General features: G+C 42.7%; 1 protein-coding gene and 1 long non-coding RNA gene across 8 annotated transcripts in view, besides 2 other annotated features; one reads left to right on the top strand and one right to left on the bottom strand.

Moving 5' to 3' along the window:
- Nucleotides 1-7,422, bottom strand: part of LOC105375760 (uncharacterized) — a 257,327-nt gene extending 249,905 nt beyond the window's left edge. For 2 of the 3 annotated variants that reach the window (XR_007061183.1, XR_007061182.1), the window contains exon 1: nucleotides 7,334-7,422. This is a non-coding gene — a long non-coding RNA (uncharacterized LOC105375760). The remainder of the gene's footprint in view (nucleotides 1-7,333) is intronic. The other variant, XR_928653.3, reaches the window with a different exon arrangement.
- Nucleotides 5,757-6,295: an enhancer, noted in NCBI's record as "H3K4me1 hESC enhancer chr8:132052895-132053433 (GRCh37/hg19 assembly coordinates)". NCBI's record gives its function as "activates a minimal SCP1, AML or CMV promoter by ChIP-STARR-seq in primed H9 embryonic stem cells {active_cell/tissue: H9 hESC(primed)}" and the evidence as "EXISTENCE:reporter gene assay evidence [ECO:0000049][PMID:30033119]".
- The window catches only part of ADCY8 (adenylate cyclase 8), a 260,609-nt gene continuing 241,932 nt past the window's right edge, over nucleotides 6,035-24,711 (top strand). For all 5 annotated transcript variants that reach the window (XM_017013006.2, XM_006716501.4, XM_005250769.4 and 2 more), the window contains exon 1: nucleotides 6,035-7,570. In XM_017013006.2, coding sequence (XP_016868495.1) covers nucleotides 6,611-7,570 — 960 coding nt within the window. In that variant the 5' untranslated portion in view covers nucleotides 6,035-6,610. The remainder of the gene's footprint in view (nucleotides 7,571-24,711) is intronic.
- Nucleotides 6,296-6,835: an enhancer, noted in NCBI's record as "H3K4me1 hESC enhancer chr8:132052355-132052894 (GRCh37/hg19 assembly coordinates)". NCBI's record gives its function as "activates a minimal SCP1, AML or CMV promoter by ChIP-STARR-seq in primed H9 embryonic stem cells {active_cell/tissue: H9 hESC(primed)}" and the evidence as "EXISTENCE:reporter gene assay evidence [ECO:0000049][PMID:30033119]".

Here is a 24,711-nt window from a genome sequence, read left to right as displayed (position 1 = left end):
ACAGCATCCTAAAGTAGAAGGACAATGTGCTATGTCAAGTAAATGGGATCATGGGCAGACCTGTACAAAGGTTCACCTGTCTACTTGTTGAACAAAAGCAATGCAGAATGCTGCTGGACCCACAGGATAGGACCACATGGGTAGGACCAACAAAAGCCTAAGTGGTGACCTTTGTGAATGAACAGTCAAAGACCAGAAGACAAGCACATGCATGAGGGCATCCCCCACACACATCTGGCACTGCATTAGCACCTAGAACTATAGCATCTTCCTGGGATTAGGAGGGTACAGGTGAAAGTCCCAAGAAGGATGTGGGTTAAATGTCTCACCAACTGTGCAGAAACAGAAATACATTGATTCTGAAAGGGAAAGAGATATTTTTTATGCTAAATTAATGAATTAAGATTAATATATGCAATGATATCAATGCGACTATATAAATGTATTTGCATTATAATGTCTAAAAAGTGCTAGCTTAGTCAACATAAACATCAATAGCCCACATGGAGAAAACAGTAATAGAGTGAAATATTTTTAAAAATAAGTCTGTGATATTAAAATAGCCATCAGATAGATTTTTTTAAGAGGATAAGGGAAAATTATCTGCTTTATTTCCCAATGGGTCTGCTCATTTTTTGCCCCAAGACTTCATATAGGTACCAAATTAAAATGCATAGCCAAAAGAAGATTTAGTGACACGACTGCACTAGCTGGAAACCCACTTTTTCTTTGCTTTCATTACTGCTTTTCATTACCTTATGTTACTAATCATTTCTCTCATGGTGTGTGTGAGTGTGTGTGTGTGTGTGTGTGTGTATGTGTTCTTTTTATTTTAGGACTTCAGTAAGTAAAGTCTTAATTACTGATGTCATAGTTAGCTCATCCTCTAGTTAAACCAGCATCAAGAGAATCATCTTTTAAGAAGAAAATATTTAAGTCTATCTCCCTTGCAGTTTTCTTCTTCTGACTGCCTGATGGATGAGCTATGCCTTTCTTGTCTCAGAATTGTTTTCCCACTGATGAGACACTCTTCTCCTTCCAGGCACCAGAATCTAATTTAAACTAGTTCCTGTGAAGATCCAAAATGTCTACAAACATTTTTTCCTGTATTTTTCAAGGCAGAGAAAATATAAGATAAAAGTAACATAGACATCTTCTGTATTCTATTGTGTATTGTACTGCATTCCAGATGAAATGTGAGTGCAAAGTTTTTAATTCATAGAACTTTTCAAAGATGATCCCTATGTATCTAAGACATTGACATTTCCTGGAGTGCTGTCAAAGCAGCTGATACTTTTGATATTTCCTAAGAGTAATTCTTCCAGGCAAGGCAGGCATGTAATATTCCTTTAAGGATTTTCTACTTTGGAAGCTGCTTTGTCACAAACACCCTCCTTCCCTTTGGAAACAGGATCTCTCTGGTTTCATGTCCCCTTCCTGAACTGAGTCCATCTTTTCTTTTACATGTGAATATTTTATATGTCTTCAGTAAGTGTCAGAGTTTCTATGCGTACTTAGCAAAGGTTATGGCTCTTAAAAAATTTAAATTCATATATTAATATAATCAACCTAGGAAGTCAAAGGTACATCAAGGGAGAAAACAAATTTCCTTTTCTTAAACATATCTACTGTAAATGTGGCCAATGGTATGTAGCAACATCACTAAACAAATAAGTTATTTTCCAGTGAAACAATAGGATATTTCCCCCACCACCACAACTACCTAAATGAAATAAATTACACCAAGTTAAGTATTTTCGTTAAACTCAATTGTGAAAGTCTGGTTTTTTTCTATAAATTATAGAAATAGTGTCTAAGTTTTGAACAGAAACAGAATTAGTAGGCCCTCCATTCAAACAATAAAGAGTTCTACTACCTTCATCTGCGATTCAGGCTCATCCTAACAGATTTCTCAAAGTCTAAATGTCTCAGAAGTTTCTTATTTACTTTGCCTTTGAAAACTCAAAAAAGTGACATTTTTATTTCTATCAGTTACTGACTGCTTATGACAGCATTTTTATTGAGCATGTGGATGTCAGATTCCTGCAATACAACTTTAAGCATTGGATTTAACCACGAGATCCTGGGCAAGGTACTTAGCCACATGAAGCCTCGGTACTCAGTATCCTAGTCAGTAAGATGGAAATAATAAAATAGAGAAGGACCTAATTCACATAATTACTAGAATGATTAAATGGGACATTTGTAAAAAATCTTAAGAAAGAGCTGACACCTAGTAGGTGCTAAATCGTGGCTAACATTATTATTATCTTATTATCTCTATGTAAATTATAGTTGCTAGAAGTTGGGGGATATGGGCCCAAGGAAAATCAGTTTTTCGCTTCAGGGAGCTCACTGTTTCATGGGGAGGAGTGACAGATACATACGCCAATGGCTAGTCCCTGTATAAGGGACCATACCAAAAGTACCCATAACAGACTATTAAACAGAGAAGGAAGTCATTAGTTCTCAATGGGGATATCAGGAAAGTTCTCATGCAGAGACAACATTGCTCAAACTTTGAAGGATGAGGTAAGCAAGTATATTCAGGGAGGAATACAGGGGAAGAGGAGGAAGTTGTGTGCAAAAAGACACTGAATTGTTAAAACGCTGTCCTCAGATCACAGTAGAGACCCTGCCTTAATAAATATGCAGAGGATAAATGAAAGCATTATGAAAGATCTATCATAGCTTCAAAAGAATGTGTGGACTTCTCTTGATTTTTTCCCTTTCACTCTCTTTCTTTCTTTCTTTCTTCTTCTTTCTTTCTTTGACGGAGTTTCACTCTTGTCGCCCACGCTGGAGTGCAATGGCGTGATCTCGGTTCACTGCAACCTCTGCCTCCCGAGTTGAGGTGATTCTCTTACCTCAGCCTCCCGAGTAGCTGGGATTACAGGCATGCGCCACCACACCTAGCTAGTTTTTGTATTTTTAGGAGATAGGGGGTTTCACCATGTTGGCCAGGATGGTCTCATTCTCTTGACCTCGTGATCCGCCGGCCTCGGCCTCCCGAAGTGCTGGGATTACAGGCGTGAGCCACCGCCCCCAGCCGACTTCTCTTGTTTTAAGTGGCTCTTAATCATTTGGTGGTTTGCATATTCCAAAAAGCTTCTAAATATTTGTGTTGAACCAATGCTTTCATTCAAAAACAGAATGCTTCTTGGGCTGAATGGCACTATGTCATCCCAACAAGAAGAACATCGGAATCTAATTGTGTCATCCATGTTCTTATTTTAAAACAATCTACGGTAACACCCTTCCAGCCATGAAGCGTTCAGTCAGTTGAACAGATGTGATGTGTTCTCCCTGATGCATTAGCTTCAACCTCTGAGTTCATGAAATTGAGTTTCTTTCTGTAGCATGCTGTGTTCATTCATCAGCCTGAGTCATTTTATCTGATTGGGTCCAATCTCCCCCTCCTTGGCCCGCCTCCTTTTGCTGCTGAATAAATCATCCTGGGAGCTGTCCAGGTTGGAGAAAGATTTTCATAGGAAAGTTCCAACTGCATCCAGCCCCTCATTTATTCAGGCTGAGTCCTTAGGGCCCCAAGGAGAAAGAAGTGAGAAAATAAAGTGATGCCTTCCATTGCCAAGTTTGCTAATATGGTCATTAGCACAGATGCCTTCGGGCAATGCCCGCAGAGAGAGGACACAGCTACCCACACATTCTGGCATAGGGTCTATAGGACAGCCTTCCCAGCTGTGCTCCGTCTGGGTTCCCATCTCAAGTTAAGAGACTCATTACCCACCCGAGTTCCAGTAGGGTGAGGCTGATGAGTCCAAGAAATTCAGGAAGGAAGAAGCAAGAAGCATTTCTTTGACAGGAATGTAATTGCAGGGGTTATTTCATTAAGGGCTAGATAACTGTAACACAGAGTTGTTTGAGGTACTTTTACCCTTAACTTCCAGGCCCATGGGATAGGCCAACTATTCTGGGAGATCTTTAATGTTAACAGATTAATTCATCTACAAGCAGAGTTAAAAATAGAATCAGCCGTCTATCTATTTAAAGTTGAGCGTTTCATTTTGGCTTTCTTGGGGGATGGTAGAATACAACTTAAAAGGATTGAAATTAAAGAAGTCTTTTCCAGGGAGTGAACGAAATTCTAGAAATCTACTGGTTAGGGATTGGGGGGAATATTAGAGGATTCTTTTCTCTTCCTTCTGGAATTCTGTGTGCAAGGCAGGTGGCCCGTTTTGGGTTTAACCCGAAGCCGAAATGCGTGGGGAGAAAAACAGGAATTAAAAAGCAAAGAATTAAACCCCGCGTTTCTGGGACACGGCCGACAGAAATAACCCTGGAGACAGTGTATGTGGTTGGGGGTGGGGGTATCGAAATTATTTTTCCTTAGGACAGGCAGGAGGGAAGGGAGCTTCTCTTCTTGCTCAGGAGGGACTGAGGGGGCGGCAAGGCAAGGCGGTCATTTGGGCTTTCATGGGACGCCACGGGGAGCCGCGAACGCGCCCAGGGCCTGACGTCATTGGCCATCAGCTGACTGTGCTCTGGGCCCGGGCTCCACTGGCTGCAGCCGCAGTCTTGGTGGAGGAGGTGGTGACCACCACCGCTCCTCCACCTGCATCCGGCTGCGGGACTGCGGCGGCCGCGTTTGCCCTGCAGACCCTGCACCCCGGGACGCGGCTCATCTGTCATTAGCACCGGCACTAAGCTCCCACCGCTCAGCGACTTGGTCCGCCGCAAGCTCCGCCGCAGGCTTTGTCCGCTAGCGCTCGGCTGAGTCTGGGCGGGCGGGAAACCTGGGCTAGGGCGAGGCGGGGCCCCTGGACATGCCTTTCTCCACGTCCGCCTCCTCGACCCTATTGTAAGCGGAGAAACTTAGTGTGCGAGGCAGGCAGGGGACGTCCCCATTTTGATGTCCCGTACCCTCCACCCCCTTCGGATCGAGGTAGTAAAGAGGCTCCTGTAGGAAACTGACTGCCTCTATGATTGCGGCCTCTTGGGGGATTTTGCGTTTAGCCCGAAAGTTGGCTTTGCCAAAAGACGCACGGGTAGGAAGGGCGAAAAGGAAACCCTGTATTCCGTCGCGCTGGGCTCTCCGAGTCCGTGCGCAAAGCGGCCTACGAGTCCTGGCTCCGCACCTGCAGAGGACAAGAGCCAATGCCTAAAAAAGAACAGCGGAGGAACCGGCTGGCGCGGCCAGCTGGAACGCTGGATCGCAGTGCGCCCAGGGAAGGCCGGGGGCGCCCGCCGGCCCTAGCCCTCAGTGGTCCTCTCCCACGCCGGCCCGCGCGTGCCTCTGCCTACAAGACCTGGGGCGTCCTGGCCAGATCTGGATGGCAGGTCCCTCCGCCACCCCCGGCCCGGTTCCGGGGGCGTGGCTTGGCGCGGGGGCGGGTTTAAGTCACCGCGGGTGTCTGACCACTCTGACAGGTCTCCAAATTTCTCCCAGTCGCCTGGCGCCCGCGGTGCGTTTCAGAGCTCCAGGGTGGCACGCGGCGGCGCTTCCCTAGATCCAGAGGCGTCTCTGTCGACTTCCACGCGGCCTCGGGCCTCCCTTCTCCTCCAAACCTTCGCCTCATCCGCCAAGCTTCGGTTCTCAGCCTCAGATATCCGCACCGGCGGCTTCTCTTCGTTCTCGGAGCTCTTGGCTTTGGAGCCCTCACCACTTTTTCCTTCCCCCGCCTCTCCTGATCCTCCTAGCTCCGAGCCAAATGGACTCCAAAGAACGAAATAAAGGGGATGAGAACTGTGTGCTGCGACCCTTCGAAAGCACAGCTGAAAGCGTTGACCTCGTCTTATAGCTCAGGCTGGGACCCTGGAGCGAGAGTCCCCACACCCCCTCCGGGAGGGATGCTTCTGGCCAGAGCCAGCGCTGCGCTGTCAGTCCTTGCTCCCGAACTAGGAAAGAGCCTAGGAGGGAGCCTCAGCATACCCCTTCCTCCAAATTAACTATTTGGTGAATTGTTAGCGCCGAGGCTACCACCTCTCCAACCCTGTCGCGGGGCGCCCCGCCACCTCACCGTGACCCCCTCCTCCTCCTTCTTTGCCCCCGCCCCCAGCTCCGCCCCTGCTCCCCATCCCGGCGCAATGGAGTTCTCCGAAGGGCGATGATTCCAGCCACATCTGCTAACTTCGCACCCATCGCTGCCGCCGGTCACCGCCGGCCAGGCCCCCTGCAGCCGCGGAGCAGTGGGCGTCCAAAGCCCAGTGCAGCAGCCAGGACCCGCCCGACGCGCAGCAGAAGCACGGCGCCCAGGCGCTTAGGCGTCTCTTGGAGAGCAAAGGCTGCGCCAAAACGCTGAGCCTAGAATCAACCAAGGAGCCTGAGCCCAGGAAGGGGCTGCGTGGCTCACAGCGCTGCGGCTCCTGAGGACAAATAGCCACTGCCGCTGCGTACCCAAGCTGCGCCGGCTGGCGGGAGAGCAGCACGCAAGGACGCCGAGGTCCGCCGCGATCTTCCAGGTGCCCTTTGCCCCTGGGCACAGTATGACCCGACCTACAGGGAGCCCTAGCGCAGGGCTCCTGCAACGGGGCAGCCTAGGATAAAAAGGATCCTTGCCAAGCTCCTACCAGGCCGCCTTTGAGTCTTTAGGAACCCCTCCTCCGGCTGCCTCCCCAAGGTTCTGGGCCTCCTTCCCTGCGGCCCAGAGCCATGGAGCTCTCCGATGTGCGCTGCCTTACAGGCAGCGAGGAACTCTACACCATCCACCCGACGCCCCCGGCCGGCGACGGCAGGAGCGCCTCCCGGCCGCAGCGGCTGCTGTGGCAGACGGCGGTGCGACACATCACGGAGCAGCGCTTCATTCACGGGCACCGGGGAGGCAGCGGCAGCGGGAGTGGAGGCTCGGGCAAAGCCTCGGACCCTGCGGGCGGCGGCCCCAACCACCACGCGCCGCAGCTGTCAGGCGACTCGGCGCTGCCCCTCTACTCGCTGGGCCCGGGAGAGCGAGCGCACAGCACCTGCGGCACCAAAGTCTTCCCGGAACGCAGCGGGAGCGGCAGTGCCAGCGGCAGCGGAGGCGGGGGCGACCTGGGCTTCCTGCACCTTGACTGTGCCCCTAGCAACTCGGATTTCTTTCTTAATGGGGGCTATAGCTACCGAGGGGTCATTTTCCCCACCCTGCGCAACTCCTTCAAATCTCGGGATTTGGAACGCCTCTACCAGCGCTATTTCTTGGGCCAAAGGCGCAAATCGGAAGTGGTGATGAACGTGCTGGACGTGCTGACCAAACTCACTCTCTTGGTCCTACACTTGAGCCTGGCCTCGGCCCCCATGGACCCGCTCAAGGGCATCCTGCTGGGCTTCTTCACCGGCATTGAGGTAGTGATCTGCGCCCTGGTGGTGGTCAGGAAGGACACCACCTCCCACACGTACCTGCAGTACAGCGGCGTGGTCACCTGGGTGGCCATGACCACCCAGATCCTGGCAGCAGGCCTCGGCTACGGGCTCCTGGGCGACGGCATAGGCTACGTGCTCTTCACGCTCTTCGCCACCTACAGTATGCTGCCGCTGCCGCTCACCTGGGCCATCCTGGCCGGCCTGGGCACCTCGCTGCTGCAGGTCATCCTCCAAGTGGTCATACCCCGGCTGGCGGTCATTTCCATCAACCAGGTAACTCCTGCCTGCCTTGCATTTGTTTCCCCTCTAACTTCCCCGGGTTATTGATCATATAGCTTCCAGAGAGCCAGGGTTGCCTCACTCTCTTTAAGTCTCCGCCTTCAGTCTGGCACAGTGCCTTGTACCTAGGAGGTCTTGAGTGTTAGCGGAATGCAATCTCTTCTTAAAGTGGAACTAAATGACCTCTAAAAGTTTCTACCAACTCTACCCTTCTACTCTGATTCTATGAGTAATTCTACTCTGACATCAGCTAAGAAAGTCTGCTTTCTGCTCCTCATTCCCCTCCCTCAGGGTCTGCAGTCTCCGGAGCAGGAGACAGAAGGGGAGGAGAAGCATCCAGATTTAGAAGGTGACCCATTCCTTAACATCTCTCCTCAGGAGAGTCGCAGCAGGGTGTTGTAGCAGGCTCTGGGCTTCAGAGTTGGGTTTTTCCGTATCTCTAAGCCACAAACCCTCAGTTCTCAAAGGAACATACATTTGTTAAACACATACTGATTGTCAGTGCTGAGTACTGTACGTGTTATGTCATCCAATCCTTCAAACAATCCTATGACACATGGTTTTCTCGGGAATTTTTTATTGCCTTGGTGACCAAACATGATATCTTCTCTCATGACACGATGCGACCCCAGTGCTTTGAATAAACCAACCTCAGTAATTGGGGGTGGCAAAGAATGCAAGTTTTGATTAATTGGAAAAGGGCATTTTGATGTAGATGCTTTAAATATTATATTTAGGTGGAATCTTGTTCTTTAGGTATCTTTCCCTCCTTTCTCCTCCTTTTTTTTCTATTCTTCCCCTTAAATATGGATATGCTTATGTGAACAAAGTTCACATTGTCTATGGATGAGAAAGTAGACAATGTTTCTATTGTTTAAATTTACTAGAACCAATAGCTAATTAATGGCATGGCACTGTCTTTGCAAAATGTATGGTAGGTAACAGGAGAGTGACTTTGGGGGTTTCTCAAAAATGAGGGAAACATGTCAAGTGAAGTGTTTTCAAACAGATGGCTGGTGTGAGATGCATGGTCAGGGGGCTGCTTTGTATGGGCCTGCTCTGTCGTTAGCCTCTGTATCATTTTTGCTGTATTAGAAGCTTAAAACTCCTCTTCCTTATGGTCGAATTTGAATAGATGATGCTTAGAATAAACAGGCACGACCCCACTGAAAATTGTTCATGATGTTTAGATTGCCAGCACTGTTAGAGTGCTTCACCCATCACTGGCCTCCTGGACTTCTGGTCAATGTGGGATCCTGTCTCTTCTCCAATGGTTCTATATTCCTTTGCTCAGGTGACTTATCTGGTTGGCTGCTTTTACAGTGCTTTCTGAAGTCTCTCTGGGTAAAGCAAAGAGTTTATAAATTACATGCCTGTGATTATCAAGCATGAAATGGAGAGATGAGAGACTCTGAGTAAGGGTTGATTGACTGAACTTTTTCTTATTAAAGACAATAATGAGTGTTTTATCACAGTCACCATGAACCTTCATATCTACATATAACAAATAAGTCTCAATCTGGGAAGTGGAAGTCAAATTCTTTGGTATTAACTATTTCTCAATCCTGTTTACATGAAGATCTACATGCCAGTACATCTAAATCTACTTTCTTCCAAGCTCTCTCATTCTCTTTTTTATTTTTCTTTGTTGTATACATAGACATTAGCAGATCTTTTCTTCCCTGTCTTCCTCCCCTTCCTCCTTCTTTTTCCTTCTCTTTGCCTTCTCTTTTTTTCATCTAACTCACTATGAGTTGTTTTCACGATAAAGCATAGCTATCTGATCATGTATAAGAAATTCCATGTATTATAACCCACTACTTTTCACGCAATAGCCTTTCTCAGTACACACAACTAGAAAACTTAATAAGTAAGTTTGGAATAGTATTTAGAATAACACATCCTAAGTGGCAAATTATGAGTGTTTTCAAAGTTCTAAGTATAGATATATTTTTCTTGCCAAGTGAATCCAGAAAGTAAATTTTGGCTCCATATTTGTTTTATATTCTACTCAAATACTACCAGATGGGAGAAGATTAAAAATAACCCCCAAATGTCTTCCCACCCTCATCTCATCATAAACAATTCTCCACTGTGAAATCCAAGGTCCTGATGCATGTAAACTAAGCTCATTCAATTTTTTGTTTGGGTAAGAATTACAGATAAACTACGATTTCATAGGTTGAGTCACCTTTTACCAAAACTCTAAAAGAACAACCAGAGCGCTCTCCCCTCACTTCAGTGCTGAAAGGGCTTTTAAAGGTCCTTTGGCGCCCTCTATTGGCTTAAGAGTCTTTCCTAGATCGCGCAGATGGACGAAGTAGAGAATAAATCGCTTTTTATAAGAATCTGTGATTTTTGAATAGGTACTATTTAGTTTTCCATGTCTGGTAACACATAAGGAATGCTCAAAACCTGCTAAACACTTCTTATAGCAACTCGAGTAAAATCCTAACTTCTTACCACAGCATGCTTGATTCTCTGAGCTAGTTGCTTCTTCTCTCTCCAACCATATTTCCCTCTCTTCTCTTCTCTTGTATTCTCTTCATTAGGCTCCAAATATGCTATTCATTTTTGCCATATTCCAAGCTCTTCCTAATTCTGGGTCTTTTCACCTGCTACCTAGAGCAACTTTTCCCAAGTCTTTATAAGACTGGCACATTCTCATTGTTCCAGACTCTCAAATGCTACTTTCTCTAGTAAACGACTTGTTTCATTTTCTCCAGAGCACATCTGCTATCTGAAATTATCTTATTTGTTTATATCTACTATGTTTCTCCCCACACCCTCACAAGAATGTAAACACCATAAGGGCAAGGATGTTGTCTATCATAAATAGCATTTTATCCTCGGCCTGTAGAAAAATGCCAGACATATAGCAGGTACTCAACAAACAGTCACTGAATGAAGAAGACAATTCATCATATAGGAAATATTATAAAATATCCAAGTGCCCTGATGTTGTGTTGGTGAAAGCTTTCTATACACACACACACATACACATCATATGTGTGTAACGCAGTCTTACACGTAAACATCTTCTAAAGAAATCAAAAACAATAATAATCCTTTACTTTGCACAGTATTTTACATGTAACTAAGCACCCTTATGTGCATCATCATATCTAATGATGAAAAATAGATGGTATCATCCTTCATTTTCATTTCAGAGAAAAAAATGACAGAATCCTAGAAACTTTACAGTGATACCCTGAGGATCAGGAACCTGGCAAGTGGAGGACAGAATTCAAACCCTGACTCTGATGCCAATTATTCTTCAGAAACCCTTTAGTGATTATCCTTCTAAACATGTAAGCATTTGAAACTATTAAAGACTGAGGAGTACTTCTTTTACTACTTAAGAGAGTTAAATAAACATTTAACGAAGAAGCCAAAGGGAAATTATGAGAGAAAAATGAGTGAATTGCTGGGCATAGGCTCATTGTAGCTAGCTCATCATTCTGCTTAGCTAGATACAAATCTGTCAACTAAAAGCCATAAACACTGGAATAGCATCTTTCTCCACATTAATCTTCATTCTCTTTAGGAGGATAGCTAATGTTTAACTTAGCATTTTCAGGATTTAGGAAACGAAAATGGGAGTATAGAGTTAGCACACCTTGGCAGCTGTTTCACTTCACTGAAAATGTCATTTTTGAAAGGAACAAATGAGCCAATGATTGCCTTCCTTTAATCTAAGCTATGAGAATCTGCTTTCCCTCTTTCTACCCTGAAGGAAATGACATCTGTGACTTGACAGGGTAGCAACCACACTGAAAATCTCTGCAGACACCCTATATGAAGAGACAAAGCCCTGTGTTTATTGAATCACCATTTGCTTTCCACTGTGGATACAAAATGGAACCTAAAAGGGGCCACTCAGGAAATTCCCTGCCATCAGCAAAGAGATGGTTTATGTTTTCTCTACTCAATTAACACACTACAAACATTGACTTCCCACCCAACAAAGAGATTATTGTCTAGAGCAGACATAATCACCCATATGTTTTCTGCATCTGGAGTGGCATCGGAAAGACCGAGAAACTTTCAGAAGGCTCAAAACCCAGTTTGAAGGGTTCCTTTTATTTCACTCTGACTTAGCTCAGCTATAGGTAGCACTAGGGCTACAATCGTTTCTTTCTTATGAAACCGCACCCAATCCAAGTTAAATAAGCCTCAAACCAATGATAGGAATACCTTGTCCAGATTTTCCTAAGACACTGGTTTATTTTTTCCACATCATAAACCAATTGTTTGTATCACCAATTCGATTTATCCACCAGGAAATTCATTACAAAATGATGTTATATGTATAAATAAAGGATTGATGATAAGATTATATTTGCTAGGTTCTTTCACAAGGTAGAGAAATTCTAAATGCTATTGCTATAGTTAGCATTTTACTCTATTTTAATTGCTGGTGACAATAATATGAGCTATCTTACATTTGAAACTCATCTCATTCTCATACTTTAGCTCATTAGTGATAAGATGGTGGAAATCATTTAGTTACTGGAAAACTGAGAGGCAGCAATATTTAACCAGAAAGATCGCTGCATTATGGTTCCCTCTTGGGGATTCTAAAATATTACAGCTAGTGGCTAATTAGTTTTCTGTGCCTCTTGGTGAGATAGATAAGCGGACTTGTCAGAGTGGAGATGATTTCTCCAAGATAACTGTACAATCAAAGGCAGTCAGATATGCAAATCCAGGTTACTTAGTGCTCAAGGTCATGCTGTCAGATTTAAATTCCTCATGCAACATTTTCTTTCCTACCTTTCAACATCCTATCAAACAGGAGAGACTAGAGCCAGAAAAATGCTAAAGAATGATTGTTAAACTTGACTTACAATGAGGGACATTTAGCCTAACATTTGGCCTTTAAGAAATCCTTTAGGGGAAATTTTTTTTTCTTTGTGCTGGATAAGATAGTGGTGTATAGTATGAGTAAGTTGGGTTCAGGAGGGGAGCTGACTTTCTATGTGACTTAAATACACATTTCTGACCACTTAAATGAAGGACTGACTTCACAGTAAAGATAAAATAAATATAATAAAATTACCAACTTCTCTCCCATCATTTATACAGTTTAAACATAAGATATTATATGTTCTTTGTCTAAGTCTAAGGTTCTTTGTAGCTATCTCAAATCAAATAAAGGGAATCCTGTGACTACTTAATGTACAACAAATGGCATGTAATATAAATCATTCCAATTTGGTAGTTGGTATCAAGGTACGTACTCATTTGAGAGACATAAATATCCATTAAATGAGTATGACTGGAATCCAATTTAATGCACCTCACTAGTTATGGTGTGCATTTCTTAAAACCCCAAATATCTCCATTTCTGTACATTTTTCTTTAGGAAATTCATATAGGCTTTAAAAAAATAATGTCGGCTTTCCAGCATGTCTGAGAAAAATGCCTTTCAAAAGCCGATTTGAGTGTCAACCTTCCCAAGAGATTCCTCTGAACACCGAGAAATGGAAATATTATTCTCTCTTACTTGTAAAAGATACCCAGAGAGTCTCCTTTTTCTTTCTTTCTATTTTTCTTTTCTTTCTTTCTTCTTCATGTGTATGTGTGTGTGTGTGCTTTTGTGTATGTGTGTTGGTGGAGAATGGGCTTTACAAAGGATATCTTAATGACTGCTGAAATGACCAATTAAATCCCTTCAGCTCTGGCCTGTAGACATCTTTGCCCTGGAGTTGCAAATAGGCTTGTTGTCTCTGTATTTAGAGAGTTGTAAAATGATTGTGTAGTGTGTGCTTTGCAAGATTGAATTATGAATTTGTTTTCCTTCATATCTGGTAATATCACCTGACTGTTATCAGCAGGTCAGAGCATAATTAGATTAGAACTGGGAAGATTGGGAGGACTTTGCTTCTAGAGCAGCTGCTACAATGTCATGCTAAGTAGGACAAATGCATTAGTCATATTTACACTTTGATGATTGATGACATTTTAAGAGCTCATCAGAAATGAGTGAAACCAAGCAAAAAAATGAAATATTTTTAAAAAGAGTTTATTCCATATTCAGTGCTGCTAGCAACATTTAATCAGAGGACACTACTACAATCATGCTGATGTGACATTTTACTGTTGTCTAAATATTTCTTAAGATGCTAATTTATTCATTTCACAAGTGTGTCTATTTAAGTTGATTCTACATGTGTTTATTTCCAAAACATAGGAGACACTTGCAACATTCATCTTAAACCTTTCCTCTCAGCACCAAATAGGTACAATATTGATTCTCTGGGAGACCAGTAGACTCAGAATATGCAGCTGGACAACATAGCAGTTCACTTGACTTATCACTTCTGAAGTGTGTTCTTGGTTTTCTCTTTGGGGCAGAATTAAAGTAACAGAACATGAAGATTAGTGGCAGTATTGAAGGTTGCAAAATTTCTGTGATACATAGGTTTGAACCTCAGTTGGCAAAAGAGTGAGTTATATAAAGAATTTTCTTCCCAGGATTTTTGTGGGGACTTAGTCGAGGAATGCTGCTTCAGCCAGCCACAACAGAGCAGGGAAAGCTAGTATAATCTTCCCTGCACTTCCCCAGGAAATGTAATTGGATTTACACACTCAAATTATATCATGTGAGTTTTGTTTATGAAGGACTATTTTAAGAAGTCAGGTCACTTAAGCAGTGCTTCGGAAGCCAGATTTTCTCCCTGCAAGATTTTTTACAGTCAGCCCTGTGGGGGAGAGGAAGAATGCAGAATAGATTAATTAACTATGGAGATGCCAGACATTCCACAGGAGGCCCAGGCACATTCTGGTAGGCATAAAAGCCACCTACCAGCAAATGCCACTATGCCACTACCTTCTCGATAAAGGAACAGAGCTTATCTGACAAGGTGTTGTCAGATAAACCTATGTTTGCTTGTTTCTTTGATCTCTATGCACTGGACTCTGAATGTGCATGTGTAGAATTTGATATCTGAATTTCATTTAACTAGATCATATATTTTAATATATGAAATACTTTGTACTTTATAGCTACTGGGGTTTTCTATCCCTTTCACTCTGTTTCCTGCTTTATATATCCAAGCTCAAGTGCTACTAATTGCAAAATGTCTTTGAAGCACAAACTTCCCCCAAATTAGGGAATGATAAAGTTATACATGGTGAAGACATAAGCCGGATATGAAAGTAAATCACATTAATGTCTTGGGGTTTCTTGTTAAATGAGTAATGTTTTTACAACTGCCGTTTCCATCTACAGTGCCAGTGTAAAAATTTCACATAAAAACAAAAAACTATAACCACTTCATTTTGTAAACAACACATCCTCATTCTATGTCAGCTGATTTTTCAGTTGACTGGAGTAAACCGTTTCAGAATCTTTTCTTCATTTGTGTGTATGTATGTGTGTGTGATTACACGCTGAATGCACAAGATTGCTTATAAAATAGAAACTACTAAGGGTTAGAGAATGCATTATCAAAGTACATGTATTTCTTTGACTCAGAATATAGGGAGAAGAAATAAGAGCACAAAAAAAAAATCTAACAGAACCCATCTTATGCTGCTATAACAAAACCTGAGACTGTGTAATTTATTTTAAAAAAAAATCAGAAATTTATTTGGCTTCTGGTTTTGGAGACCAGGAATTCCAAGACTGAGGGACCATATCTGGTGAAGGTTTTTTGTTGCAATGTAAGATGGCAGAAGGTATCACATGGGCATAAAAGAGCAAGAGATTGAACTCAAGGCCTCAAACACTTTTAAAATCAACATTAATCCTTTCATGAAGGTAAAGCCCTCAGGATCTAAACACCTCTCATTAGGCCCCACTGTAACGTTTGGGATTAAGTTTCCAACACATGCTTTATGAGGGGCATATTCAAGCCATAACAAGGACCAAAAACAAAAAACAAAACAAGGAAGAATACCTCTGGAAGGCCTGAACATAGAAGGGATATAGAAAGAATATGGTGACTGCCTTTAAATATTTGGGGTTCTGCCATGACAAAGAGACTGGTTATTTTCTGTGTGTCTCCTGTGGAATGGAATTAAGACCAATGGATAGCCATTAAAGCAGGAGAAATTCTGATTCACAAAAAGGTAAAGTTTGATAACAAACAGACCTGCCCAGGGAGCTGCTTTTTGAGATGATGAGCTCCTTGCCATTGGGCATTCCCCAAGGAGAAGCTGTGCAACAATCCATCAGGGATGTAATCAAGGAGATTCCTATATAGTGATCTATATATCTATTCCTATAGATATATAGGAATATCCTATGTAGGGAGATATATACATATATATTCCTATAGAGGGAATCCTTTATTATATCCCTGATGGATTGTTGCACAGCTTTTCTTCAAGGTCAGTTGAAAGTCATTGGCTGCATCTCATGTCATCATGGTTGCTTTGCAGGCATGGAAAAGTAGAAGACAAAGGGCAAGAGGCCAAAATGGTAAAAGGGCATAAGCCAACTGAATTTGTGCCCCTTTGAGGAGCTCCCCTGGGATCTCTGCCCAATAAGACCTCCTTGTATTTCAGGCGACATAATTAGTTCTATCAGCAAGAAAGGATGGCCAAAAAATGATTTTGCTGGGCTTTAAAAGATCAGGATTGCATTAGAATGAAAGGTGGAATAACTATTGAATAGATAAACTTTTCCCCCAAATATTTGTTGACTGCCTGCTGGGTTTTATGTCCTAGAACACAGCTAGGTACTAAAGAGATAAGGTTATTGATGTAATGGAGCTGATGCTTGGATGGATTTGGGTAGGGAATTTGTGACTCCACTGCAGAGGTTTGGCTGGAGGTTCACACCTGACTCTTAGAACACATCTGGAGCACAGGATTCAGGGATTCAGTAAATATTTTACACAAATGCAAGACTTGGACTCTTTTTACTACAGACCTCTAAAGTATGAAACATCAAAGCTGCAGTGGATTTCTTTTAGAAGTTACATGAAAGGAAAGGTCAGACTCCAGAAGAAATAGTGGAAGGGTATGGATCTTCCTCCCTGGTGAAGAAAAGAAGAGCGTGCAAAAGGACCCTGGGATGGGCCAAGTCATCAGTTGTCTGAGCATCACCTTATCACAAACTGAATTTGTCACAAGGCTGGTGACCTGGAGACATGACAGGAGGGAGCATGTGCAGCTCTGGGAACTCATAGTCACTCTGTGCTCAGAGTGACTCCAGCTGAAAACTGAAGAGCTGCCCTGAGACTCTAGGCAACCCATCCCCACACAAACATGGGTAGACAGTAAGTGTAGGCAAGGCTCAAAGTCACTTTCCTTGGTACATTTCCACATCCCGTGTTTTCCTCTATCAGAGCAATGTCATAACGTTCTCACATGCCCACCAGACTATGAGCCCCTTGAGGTCAAGAATTGTATCTTATCCATCTTTGTGTCTCTAGCAGCTAGCATAGCATCTGGCACATGGATGGCTCTGAATATCATATTTTAAATGAATGGAATGAATGAATAGTAGATGACCATTTCCTTCCTTCCCCTAGCCACCCCCTACTCCACCCCCACCCACACACACACATCATTACAGAATCATCAACAGGGAATGAAAAACTGGCAAGAGAAGAGAAATCAGTCTCTCTGTCAATACAGCAAAAGTACACCAGAAATTATCCCTTGAAGCACTTTGAGCAGAAAGCTGCAGCTGAGTTTTTGCTATACATATTCATATACATGTACATATTAGATAACGTGAAGAAAAATTCAAGTAATTATCCAGATCATTTAAGTTAAGACAAAAGTTATGGGCCTGAATTATTCATGGGTATTTGTCGATTATCAAACACTTTAAATGGATCAGGCCCATCTACTCAAAATAGAGTCCAATTGCTAGCAAATACATCACCCTCTTGTTCTCTTCCCTCTTTGTTCTTCAGCATCCTGGCTCTGAATCTCTATACCCAGCTCTGGAGTTCTTTGCTTTTATAGCTGCAGTCCCCAACCTTTTTGGCACCAAGGAATGGTTTCATGGAAGATAATTTTTCCACAGACATGGGTGGGGGATGATTTTGGGAGGATCCAAGAGCTTTACATTTATGTGTATTTTATCTCTGTTATTATTACGTTGTAATATATAATGAAATTATTGTACAAGTCACACCATAATGTTTTCCTGCAGCTAGATGGTCCCATCTGGGGATGATGGGAGACAGTGACAGATCATCAAGCATCACATTCTCATAAGGAGCTTGCAGTCTAGATCTCGCGCATGTGCAGTTCACAATAGGGTTTGAACTCCTATGAGAATCTAATGCCACCACTGGCAACTGATCTGACAGGAGGCAGAGCTCAGGCGGTAATGCAAGCGATGGGGAGTGGCTGTAAATACAGATGCAGCTTCACTCATTTGCCCTGCCTCTCACTTGCTGCTGTGCAACCCACAACCTGCTGTGCAAGCACACTGGAAATCACTTCCTGGGCTTGACGTCTCAGTGGTGCCCCCTTCTGGTGGGTGCTCACCATCTGGGTACATACAGGTACAGCTGGGGGCAGGAGGTACTCCCACACTTCCACTTGACTCCTGGTACTCCATACCCGAGGGGCTGGTAGGCCTCACTCCTTAGGGGAAGATATCGGACAAAGCAGGTTGACTTTCCTAAGCGTAAAAAATGGATAGGTGCTTAGTCCACTGTTTCCTACAGCTTAAAACCTGTCACATAAAGACCATATTGTACCCTAACTGGACCAGTTTATCTACAGACTTCTAAAAAGCAAACCAAAGTCAGATTTTAGAGAATGGAACTCAAAGCAATTAACTAAAACTGTCTTTATAAAGTCCCAAAAACGGTCATGAGTCTTTTTAGTTCTTTTTTTTTTTCTGCTAATTAGTTCAAGAAAAAAAATCACTAAGAGCAAGCTGGTTTTCTTCTAAAGTCAAATCTCCCACACCCTCATTCATCGGGTGAGCCTTCCCAGCCTATTGGAGGCGGGTAGTTCATTTGAGAATGAGTTCATGGCCCCAAGTGGTCAATGTGCAGTGACTACAAAGTCTCCTCTTTTCTATTTATGAGAGATATATTGCCCTTGGCTCTTGCCAGGTGAATTATGACATGATACGCAGCTCTTTGGGCCCTGCCCAAGCCATCTCAGCCAGAGAGAAGCTGTGCCAATGGACAATGAAAGATATTTTTGAAACCATGTAAGTATATTTCCTTAAAAACATAGAAAACACAAATTCTCCTCCTGTTTTTGCTATGGGTTTTTCACAGCAACTTTGGCTTCAGCTTCTTTGGGCCAAAATTTCTTCATGTCTAAAAGAAGGATAGTTCAACACTCCTGACCCAGTTAGATATTCCTCCTCTGAGGGCATGGCCCTTTACCTGCCCATTTATCCTGCCTCATTTTGCAGTGCTATTGGCTTCCACATCTCTCTCACCAGCTGGGCTGTGAGCTTCACAAAGTCTGGGGTGGCATCTGGGTCACTGTTAAGTCTCTACAGCATAGTGTAGTGCTGGTTACATACTCTTCTTTCTCAGGTTCCTCCAGGTCTTGTTTTTCAATTCACCTCTTCAATGTTGGGGCTCCTGAAGTTTCCGTCCTATATGACTTCACATTATCTCACTCCACACCACTCCCTGGATAATCAAATCCCTCCCTCAGTCAGCAAGTATGTATCTTTGTGCTGCTAACTCCTAACCCTGTATCTCTACCCCAGTTTTATCTGCTAAGCTTAAGACCTGGCAATCTGGAGACCTACTGGATACCTCCATTGAGGCAGCCCAACCCCAACAAGTAACAATTGACTCCATCCCGTCTGATATCTACATGAAATTCTGATGGTTTAGTCTTCCATTGCTGGGGTCTGTCCACAGCTCTCTATCCTGCTCTTTCTGTTCTAGTGCAGCCCCACCCCCAAGATTCATCAAGCCACCCCATGCTCCGCTGAACCACCCCAACACTCCCCAGTGGGAGCTTCTCCCATATGCTAGCATTCTCACCACTTCACTTCACTGGGTAAGTTCTACTGTTGAACCTCATCACCAGTTTTCTTCATATTCCATGCTGGCTTCTGCCTGTGTGTGTTTTCTAGGACAATTGTTTACCTTCCTTGCCTGGCAATATTCAAGTGTCACCACTTCCTGGAATTCCTTCTGTACCCCTTCTCCGGGACAAGTACCTGCTTAAGAATAAGTGGGGTGTGTTTAAATGGAGAATTGTGTTTGTTTGACTTTGATAATCTAAGCTCATGTTAGGTGTTTAAGGAAAGGAGGGGCAGAGAGATAAGCAGAATTTGACAAAAAAATGAGCAGTCCTTCAAGCATGACTCTCAATGAGACAGAACTGTATTGGAGATTGCTATATGCCAAACTTAACACACTTCCCAAGGAAAGAAAAAAGCATAGAGTTCATAGCACAGGATGTGGATTCAGACTGCCTGGGATTGATCTGCAATTTTTTCATTTTATAACACTGACAAGAGCCTCAATCTTTCTGCACCTCACTTTCTTCAGCTGTAAAATGGGAATAATAATAATAGCTCAGGAGGTTGTTGAAGAGATGAAATAATACACATGGAGTATTTAAATCAGAACCTGGTAAAGAGGAATCAGGTAATACATTTCATTTGATTTTATAATTTAAGTTTTAAAACAATCACCCTTTTTCAATGAGTTCTCTGCCCTAAGCTGACAGTTTCTGGGCTTCACCTGGCTTAACCCCTGCATCTTTTAGACCAGTGCTTCTCCAACTTTAATGTGAATAGGAATCACTTGGAGATCTTGACAAAATTTGGATTTAGGAGGAGGACCCTAGGTTCTGTGTTTCTGACAAGTTGCCAGGTAATGGATGCTTGCAGTCTGCAGATCATAATTTGTGGGAAAGGCTTTGGAGTTTGGCACAGACCCCACCTTCTCTTCAGTGGGTCCCTGCTACTCCACCAGGTAGATTTAGATCCCTGTCCTCTAATTCACTTATATTATTGAACATTCAGGCTTCCATAGCAATATACCATAACTGACTGACTTGTAACAAACAAACAAAAAAAAACATTTATTTCTCATAGTTCTGGAGGCTGGGAAGCTCAAAATCTAAGCACCAGTAGATTTGGTGCCTGGTGAGGGCCTGCTTCCTGGTTCACATGGCCATCTTCCGACTGTGTCCTTGCAGGATGAAAGAGACAAGGCAGCTCTCTGAGGCCTTTTTTCTAGACACTAATCCCATTCATGAAGGCTCCACCCTCATGACACATTCACCTCCCACCTCTTAATTCCATCACCTTAGGGTTAGCATTTTAACATGTGTATTTTGGAGGGACACAAACATTCAGACCATAGCAACATTCTTCCATCATTCATTAATGCATGCTTTCATTTAGCCTCATATGGCGAATATTTATGGAGTACCACAGTGTGCTGCATGCAGGCAGTAGGGGTGCTGTGGTGAGGAAAAGAATCCAGGATCCTGCTATTAAAGAGATTATAATCTAGAGTTATAGACAGTCATCCATCAAATAATCACCTAAATAAGTGAATGATTTCAAACTGAGTTAAGGACTTTTAAAGCAGGTTTGATGTGGGGCCATGATTAGTTGAGAAAAGTGAGGCATCCAGGGTACAAAGCTTACAAGAAGCACTTGTTCTCAGGGGCTGACCCTGCACTTGTGCAACCCTGCGAAGGAATAATTCCTGAAATTGTGTGCTCTAGGCATTCAGCTTGCACTCATTTCTATTTAAAAGGAAAATCCTGACTAGACCTGAGATGAGGAAATTATTCTTAATATCTACAGGAAGAATTCATGTTAGCAGGTAAGATTGGAATTATGTTTTATTTATTTGTCTCTACTGTTAAACAACGTGCTCTTTGAGAGCAGGGTCTGTCCTTTTGTATATCACCGGAATGGACACTGGCACATCACGCGGGAATCTCATATCAGAAGCTTGTTGAGTAAATGCCTGAACAATCATATTCGCATCAGTATTGCTGTTTCCCTTTTTATAGTTGAGGATGCTGAACACAGAGTTGTTACAGCATTTCCCTTTGGTCATATGATGAATACGAGATTTCATCCACAGCTATCTGATTCCAAAGCTGCCCTCTAGATTTGATGCTTCTTTAAGGCCACTTTATCTCAATAACTATGCTCATTTCAGAGGCAATAAGATTAATAAAGAAAAAGAAAAATGAAATGTACCTTGCAAATAGTAGCAATGTTTATCATGATAGTTATCACTATCATAGATAGAGCCAAGGGGATAAGCACACTGTATTGAAAACAACACCTGAATAAAGGGTCATCAAAAGACCCACCTCAGATTTTACATACAAAACAGTGCAACTTTCTTCAAGCCACTCAGCCTGTCTTGGCTTCAAAATGAGTTTCTGATAGCTCTAAAATTCTATGACTATGAAATGATTTCTGAGTTTCCTTACAGCTCTCAAAAATTTTATTCCATGAGTTATAATGAATGTGCATGTGGGGATTGGTATGCTTTCCCCATTTATTTGCCTCCCAAGATCAGATAATGACAATTCTTATAGAACACATAACTTGTTGAGGTCTTTGACCTCTGAGATTCTTAAGAAGAGAATTATGAGTAATGATTTAGCAAATACTGAAAGAATCACTCCCTAGATGGTATTTAATATTTAATTTCTCCTAGTGGTTTAATTACATTGGCACCATCAGTTGCAAATTTGTGTGTCATTTTAGTCATTCAGTCATTGAATTTGTTTCGAACGGACTAGTAATTGTGATAATTAATTGACAAACAATTGTGTACTTTGACTATATAATTAGTGACTTCATGGCACTTGCCTATCTCTCATTTCCACAATGTGCATGTTACTGTAATCAACAGCCATTTTGTGAAAGTATTACCGAGCCATGATTGAATTGGACATTTACACAGCCTGAATAGTCACAACCTGGAGCCCGACTTTGGCACATTCATCTTCCTTGTCTATGGACCCCAGGAAATAGATAAGGTAGCCTGAAGGAACTCACTTAATCCTGCTATAGGTTAGTCACTGCATCCATAACAAGATGAGAATAAAGTAGCTCCTTTATCAGTAAATGAGCTAATGAATAAGAAAACATTTTGAACCAATATACAGCAGTAAACAAACACTGGGCTGTATTATTATTATTATTATTAATTATTCCTATAACACAGTTGTGTCTGATGATGTCACGCAATAGCAAGCTGTCTTGTTCTGTCATTGGCGTGAAACTGCCAAACACGCGACAGTGGTCCACAAGGTGACTCCACTCATGAATCACCTGAACAGTGGATGAAACAAATGGTGCCCTGGGCCATTGCTGGCAATAATGAGCATTGCACACTAGAAACAAGAACTACACTGCAGGATGAGAGGATGTCCACTCATGGACAAAAATAGCAATCATTAGCAATCACCTCTTTGCCCTGTATCTAGAACACTCTTATAAGGAAGAGAAGCCATGTTGCTCTAAATGCTGGTATGTCTTCTTAGAGCTTTCCACACTGAAGTCTTTCCTTATGTAAAGTCCTTCTTAATTTTGTGGAAGGTCTATACAAATTTTTCTTCAACATCCTACAAAAAAGACCCAACTAGCCATGGGTTCGAGGTAATTTGGATATAAAAAAGCCTAAAAGTATCCTTTTAAAATCTAGTTAATAAAATTGATCTCCTTGGGCATATCTCATGCACATGTGCAGATTTCAAACTGGGAACTTATCTCAATATCAAACAACCATTAAATGACAGCAAAACTAATCCATTGTCAATAAAATTGCTAGGAAATATGTAGTAAGATAAATATCAAATTTCTTCCAACAAATAGGACGAACAAAAGATTTTTAGAATAGTGGCAGCTCCTTTTTCAAACTAGACTAAGCACTAAAATATAAAACTTATGAAAGTGGCACTGTGTGTTGGGCAAGGAGGGAAGATACAGTCTGCCTCTCCTCCTGCAGCACTGCCATCTTCTGCTCTGTGACCTACCAAGGCACTGCCAAGCTTCCACCAAAAAATGTTTCAGAACTACCACTTTATAAACCCACTCCTAGGTCTTTAGCTGTTGAGGACTTAACTTAGATGTTCCTAAAAGGAGAGTAAGGTAAAAGAACACGCTCATATGTGGCAATAATTTATTGGTGTTGATTCCAGTGTCCATGGGCATCAGGGCAGAAGGGTCTCTTTTGTTTCAGAGTAGCTTAGGCACAGGGCAATGGCTGTGATATCTAGCACTTCCTACACACCTACCATATCTGAATCTGCATTATATGGTTTGCACACATCCTGTCCACTCTTAATGGTATTCCTGCATAATATTGCAGGATTGCAACCTCCAGTTTGAAAATGAAGAAGTTGAGGATTAGAGAGTTTAACCTAGCTAGAGTCATTCCGATTGTGTGTGGCCAAGTGAGGATTTGAACTGAAGTTAATTTGGCTCCAAACATGCATGGGTTCCCACTGACTCTCACCATCACCACCCTGTACATGCTGAGTGGTCATTTAAATAAATGTATATTTACATTTAGTAATTCATATTCCTTCCATCATTCCACCATCTACTATGTGCTAGACTTGAGGGAAGCAGTCAAATAATACATGTGTTCTACCCTGGAGCCACTTACATTACCAGAATACAAACACAAGAAAGAAAAGTTTATCTGTTGTTACATGGACTGCCTCTTGTGTTGGCCCTGCTGAGAGCTGCAATGGGTTTTATACTTTAATGGGTTTCATCCTTTCCACTAAGAAACTTGAGAAATGGTTCATTCTTTTACCTGGCCGGCACTTGCTGCCTGTGACAGAAGTAAAACTAGCATTTATGGGGAAAATATAGACATCAAATAATATAAAGTTCTGATGACTTCATAGTTCACCATCTTTCTTTAAGACCAATCCAAATGCCCATCAATGATAGACTGGATAAAGAAAATTTGGCACATATACACCATGGAATACTATACAACCATAAAAAAGGATGAGTTCATGTCCTTTACAGGGACATGGATGAAGCTGGAAACCTTCATTCTCAGCAAACTAACACAAGAACAGAAAACCAAACACTGTATGTTCTCATTCATAAGTGGGAGTTGAGCAATGAGAACACATGGACACAGGGAGGGTAACATCACACACTGGGGCCTGCCTGGGGGTGGAGGGTAGGGGAGGGATAGCTTTAGAAGAATTACCTAATGTAGATG

The sequence above is a fragment of the Homo sapiens genome, chromosome 8 (genome assembly GCF_000001405.40).
Source record: "Homo sapiens chromosome 8, GRCh38.p14 Primary Assembly".
Classification (NCBI taxonomy): Eukaryota; Metazoa; Chordata; class Mammalia; order Primates; family Hominidae; genus Homo; species Homo sapiens.
The sequence above is the reverse complement of the archived record's forward strand: the minus strand, read 5'-3'. Positions and strand labels throughout refer to the sequence as shown.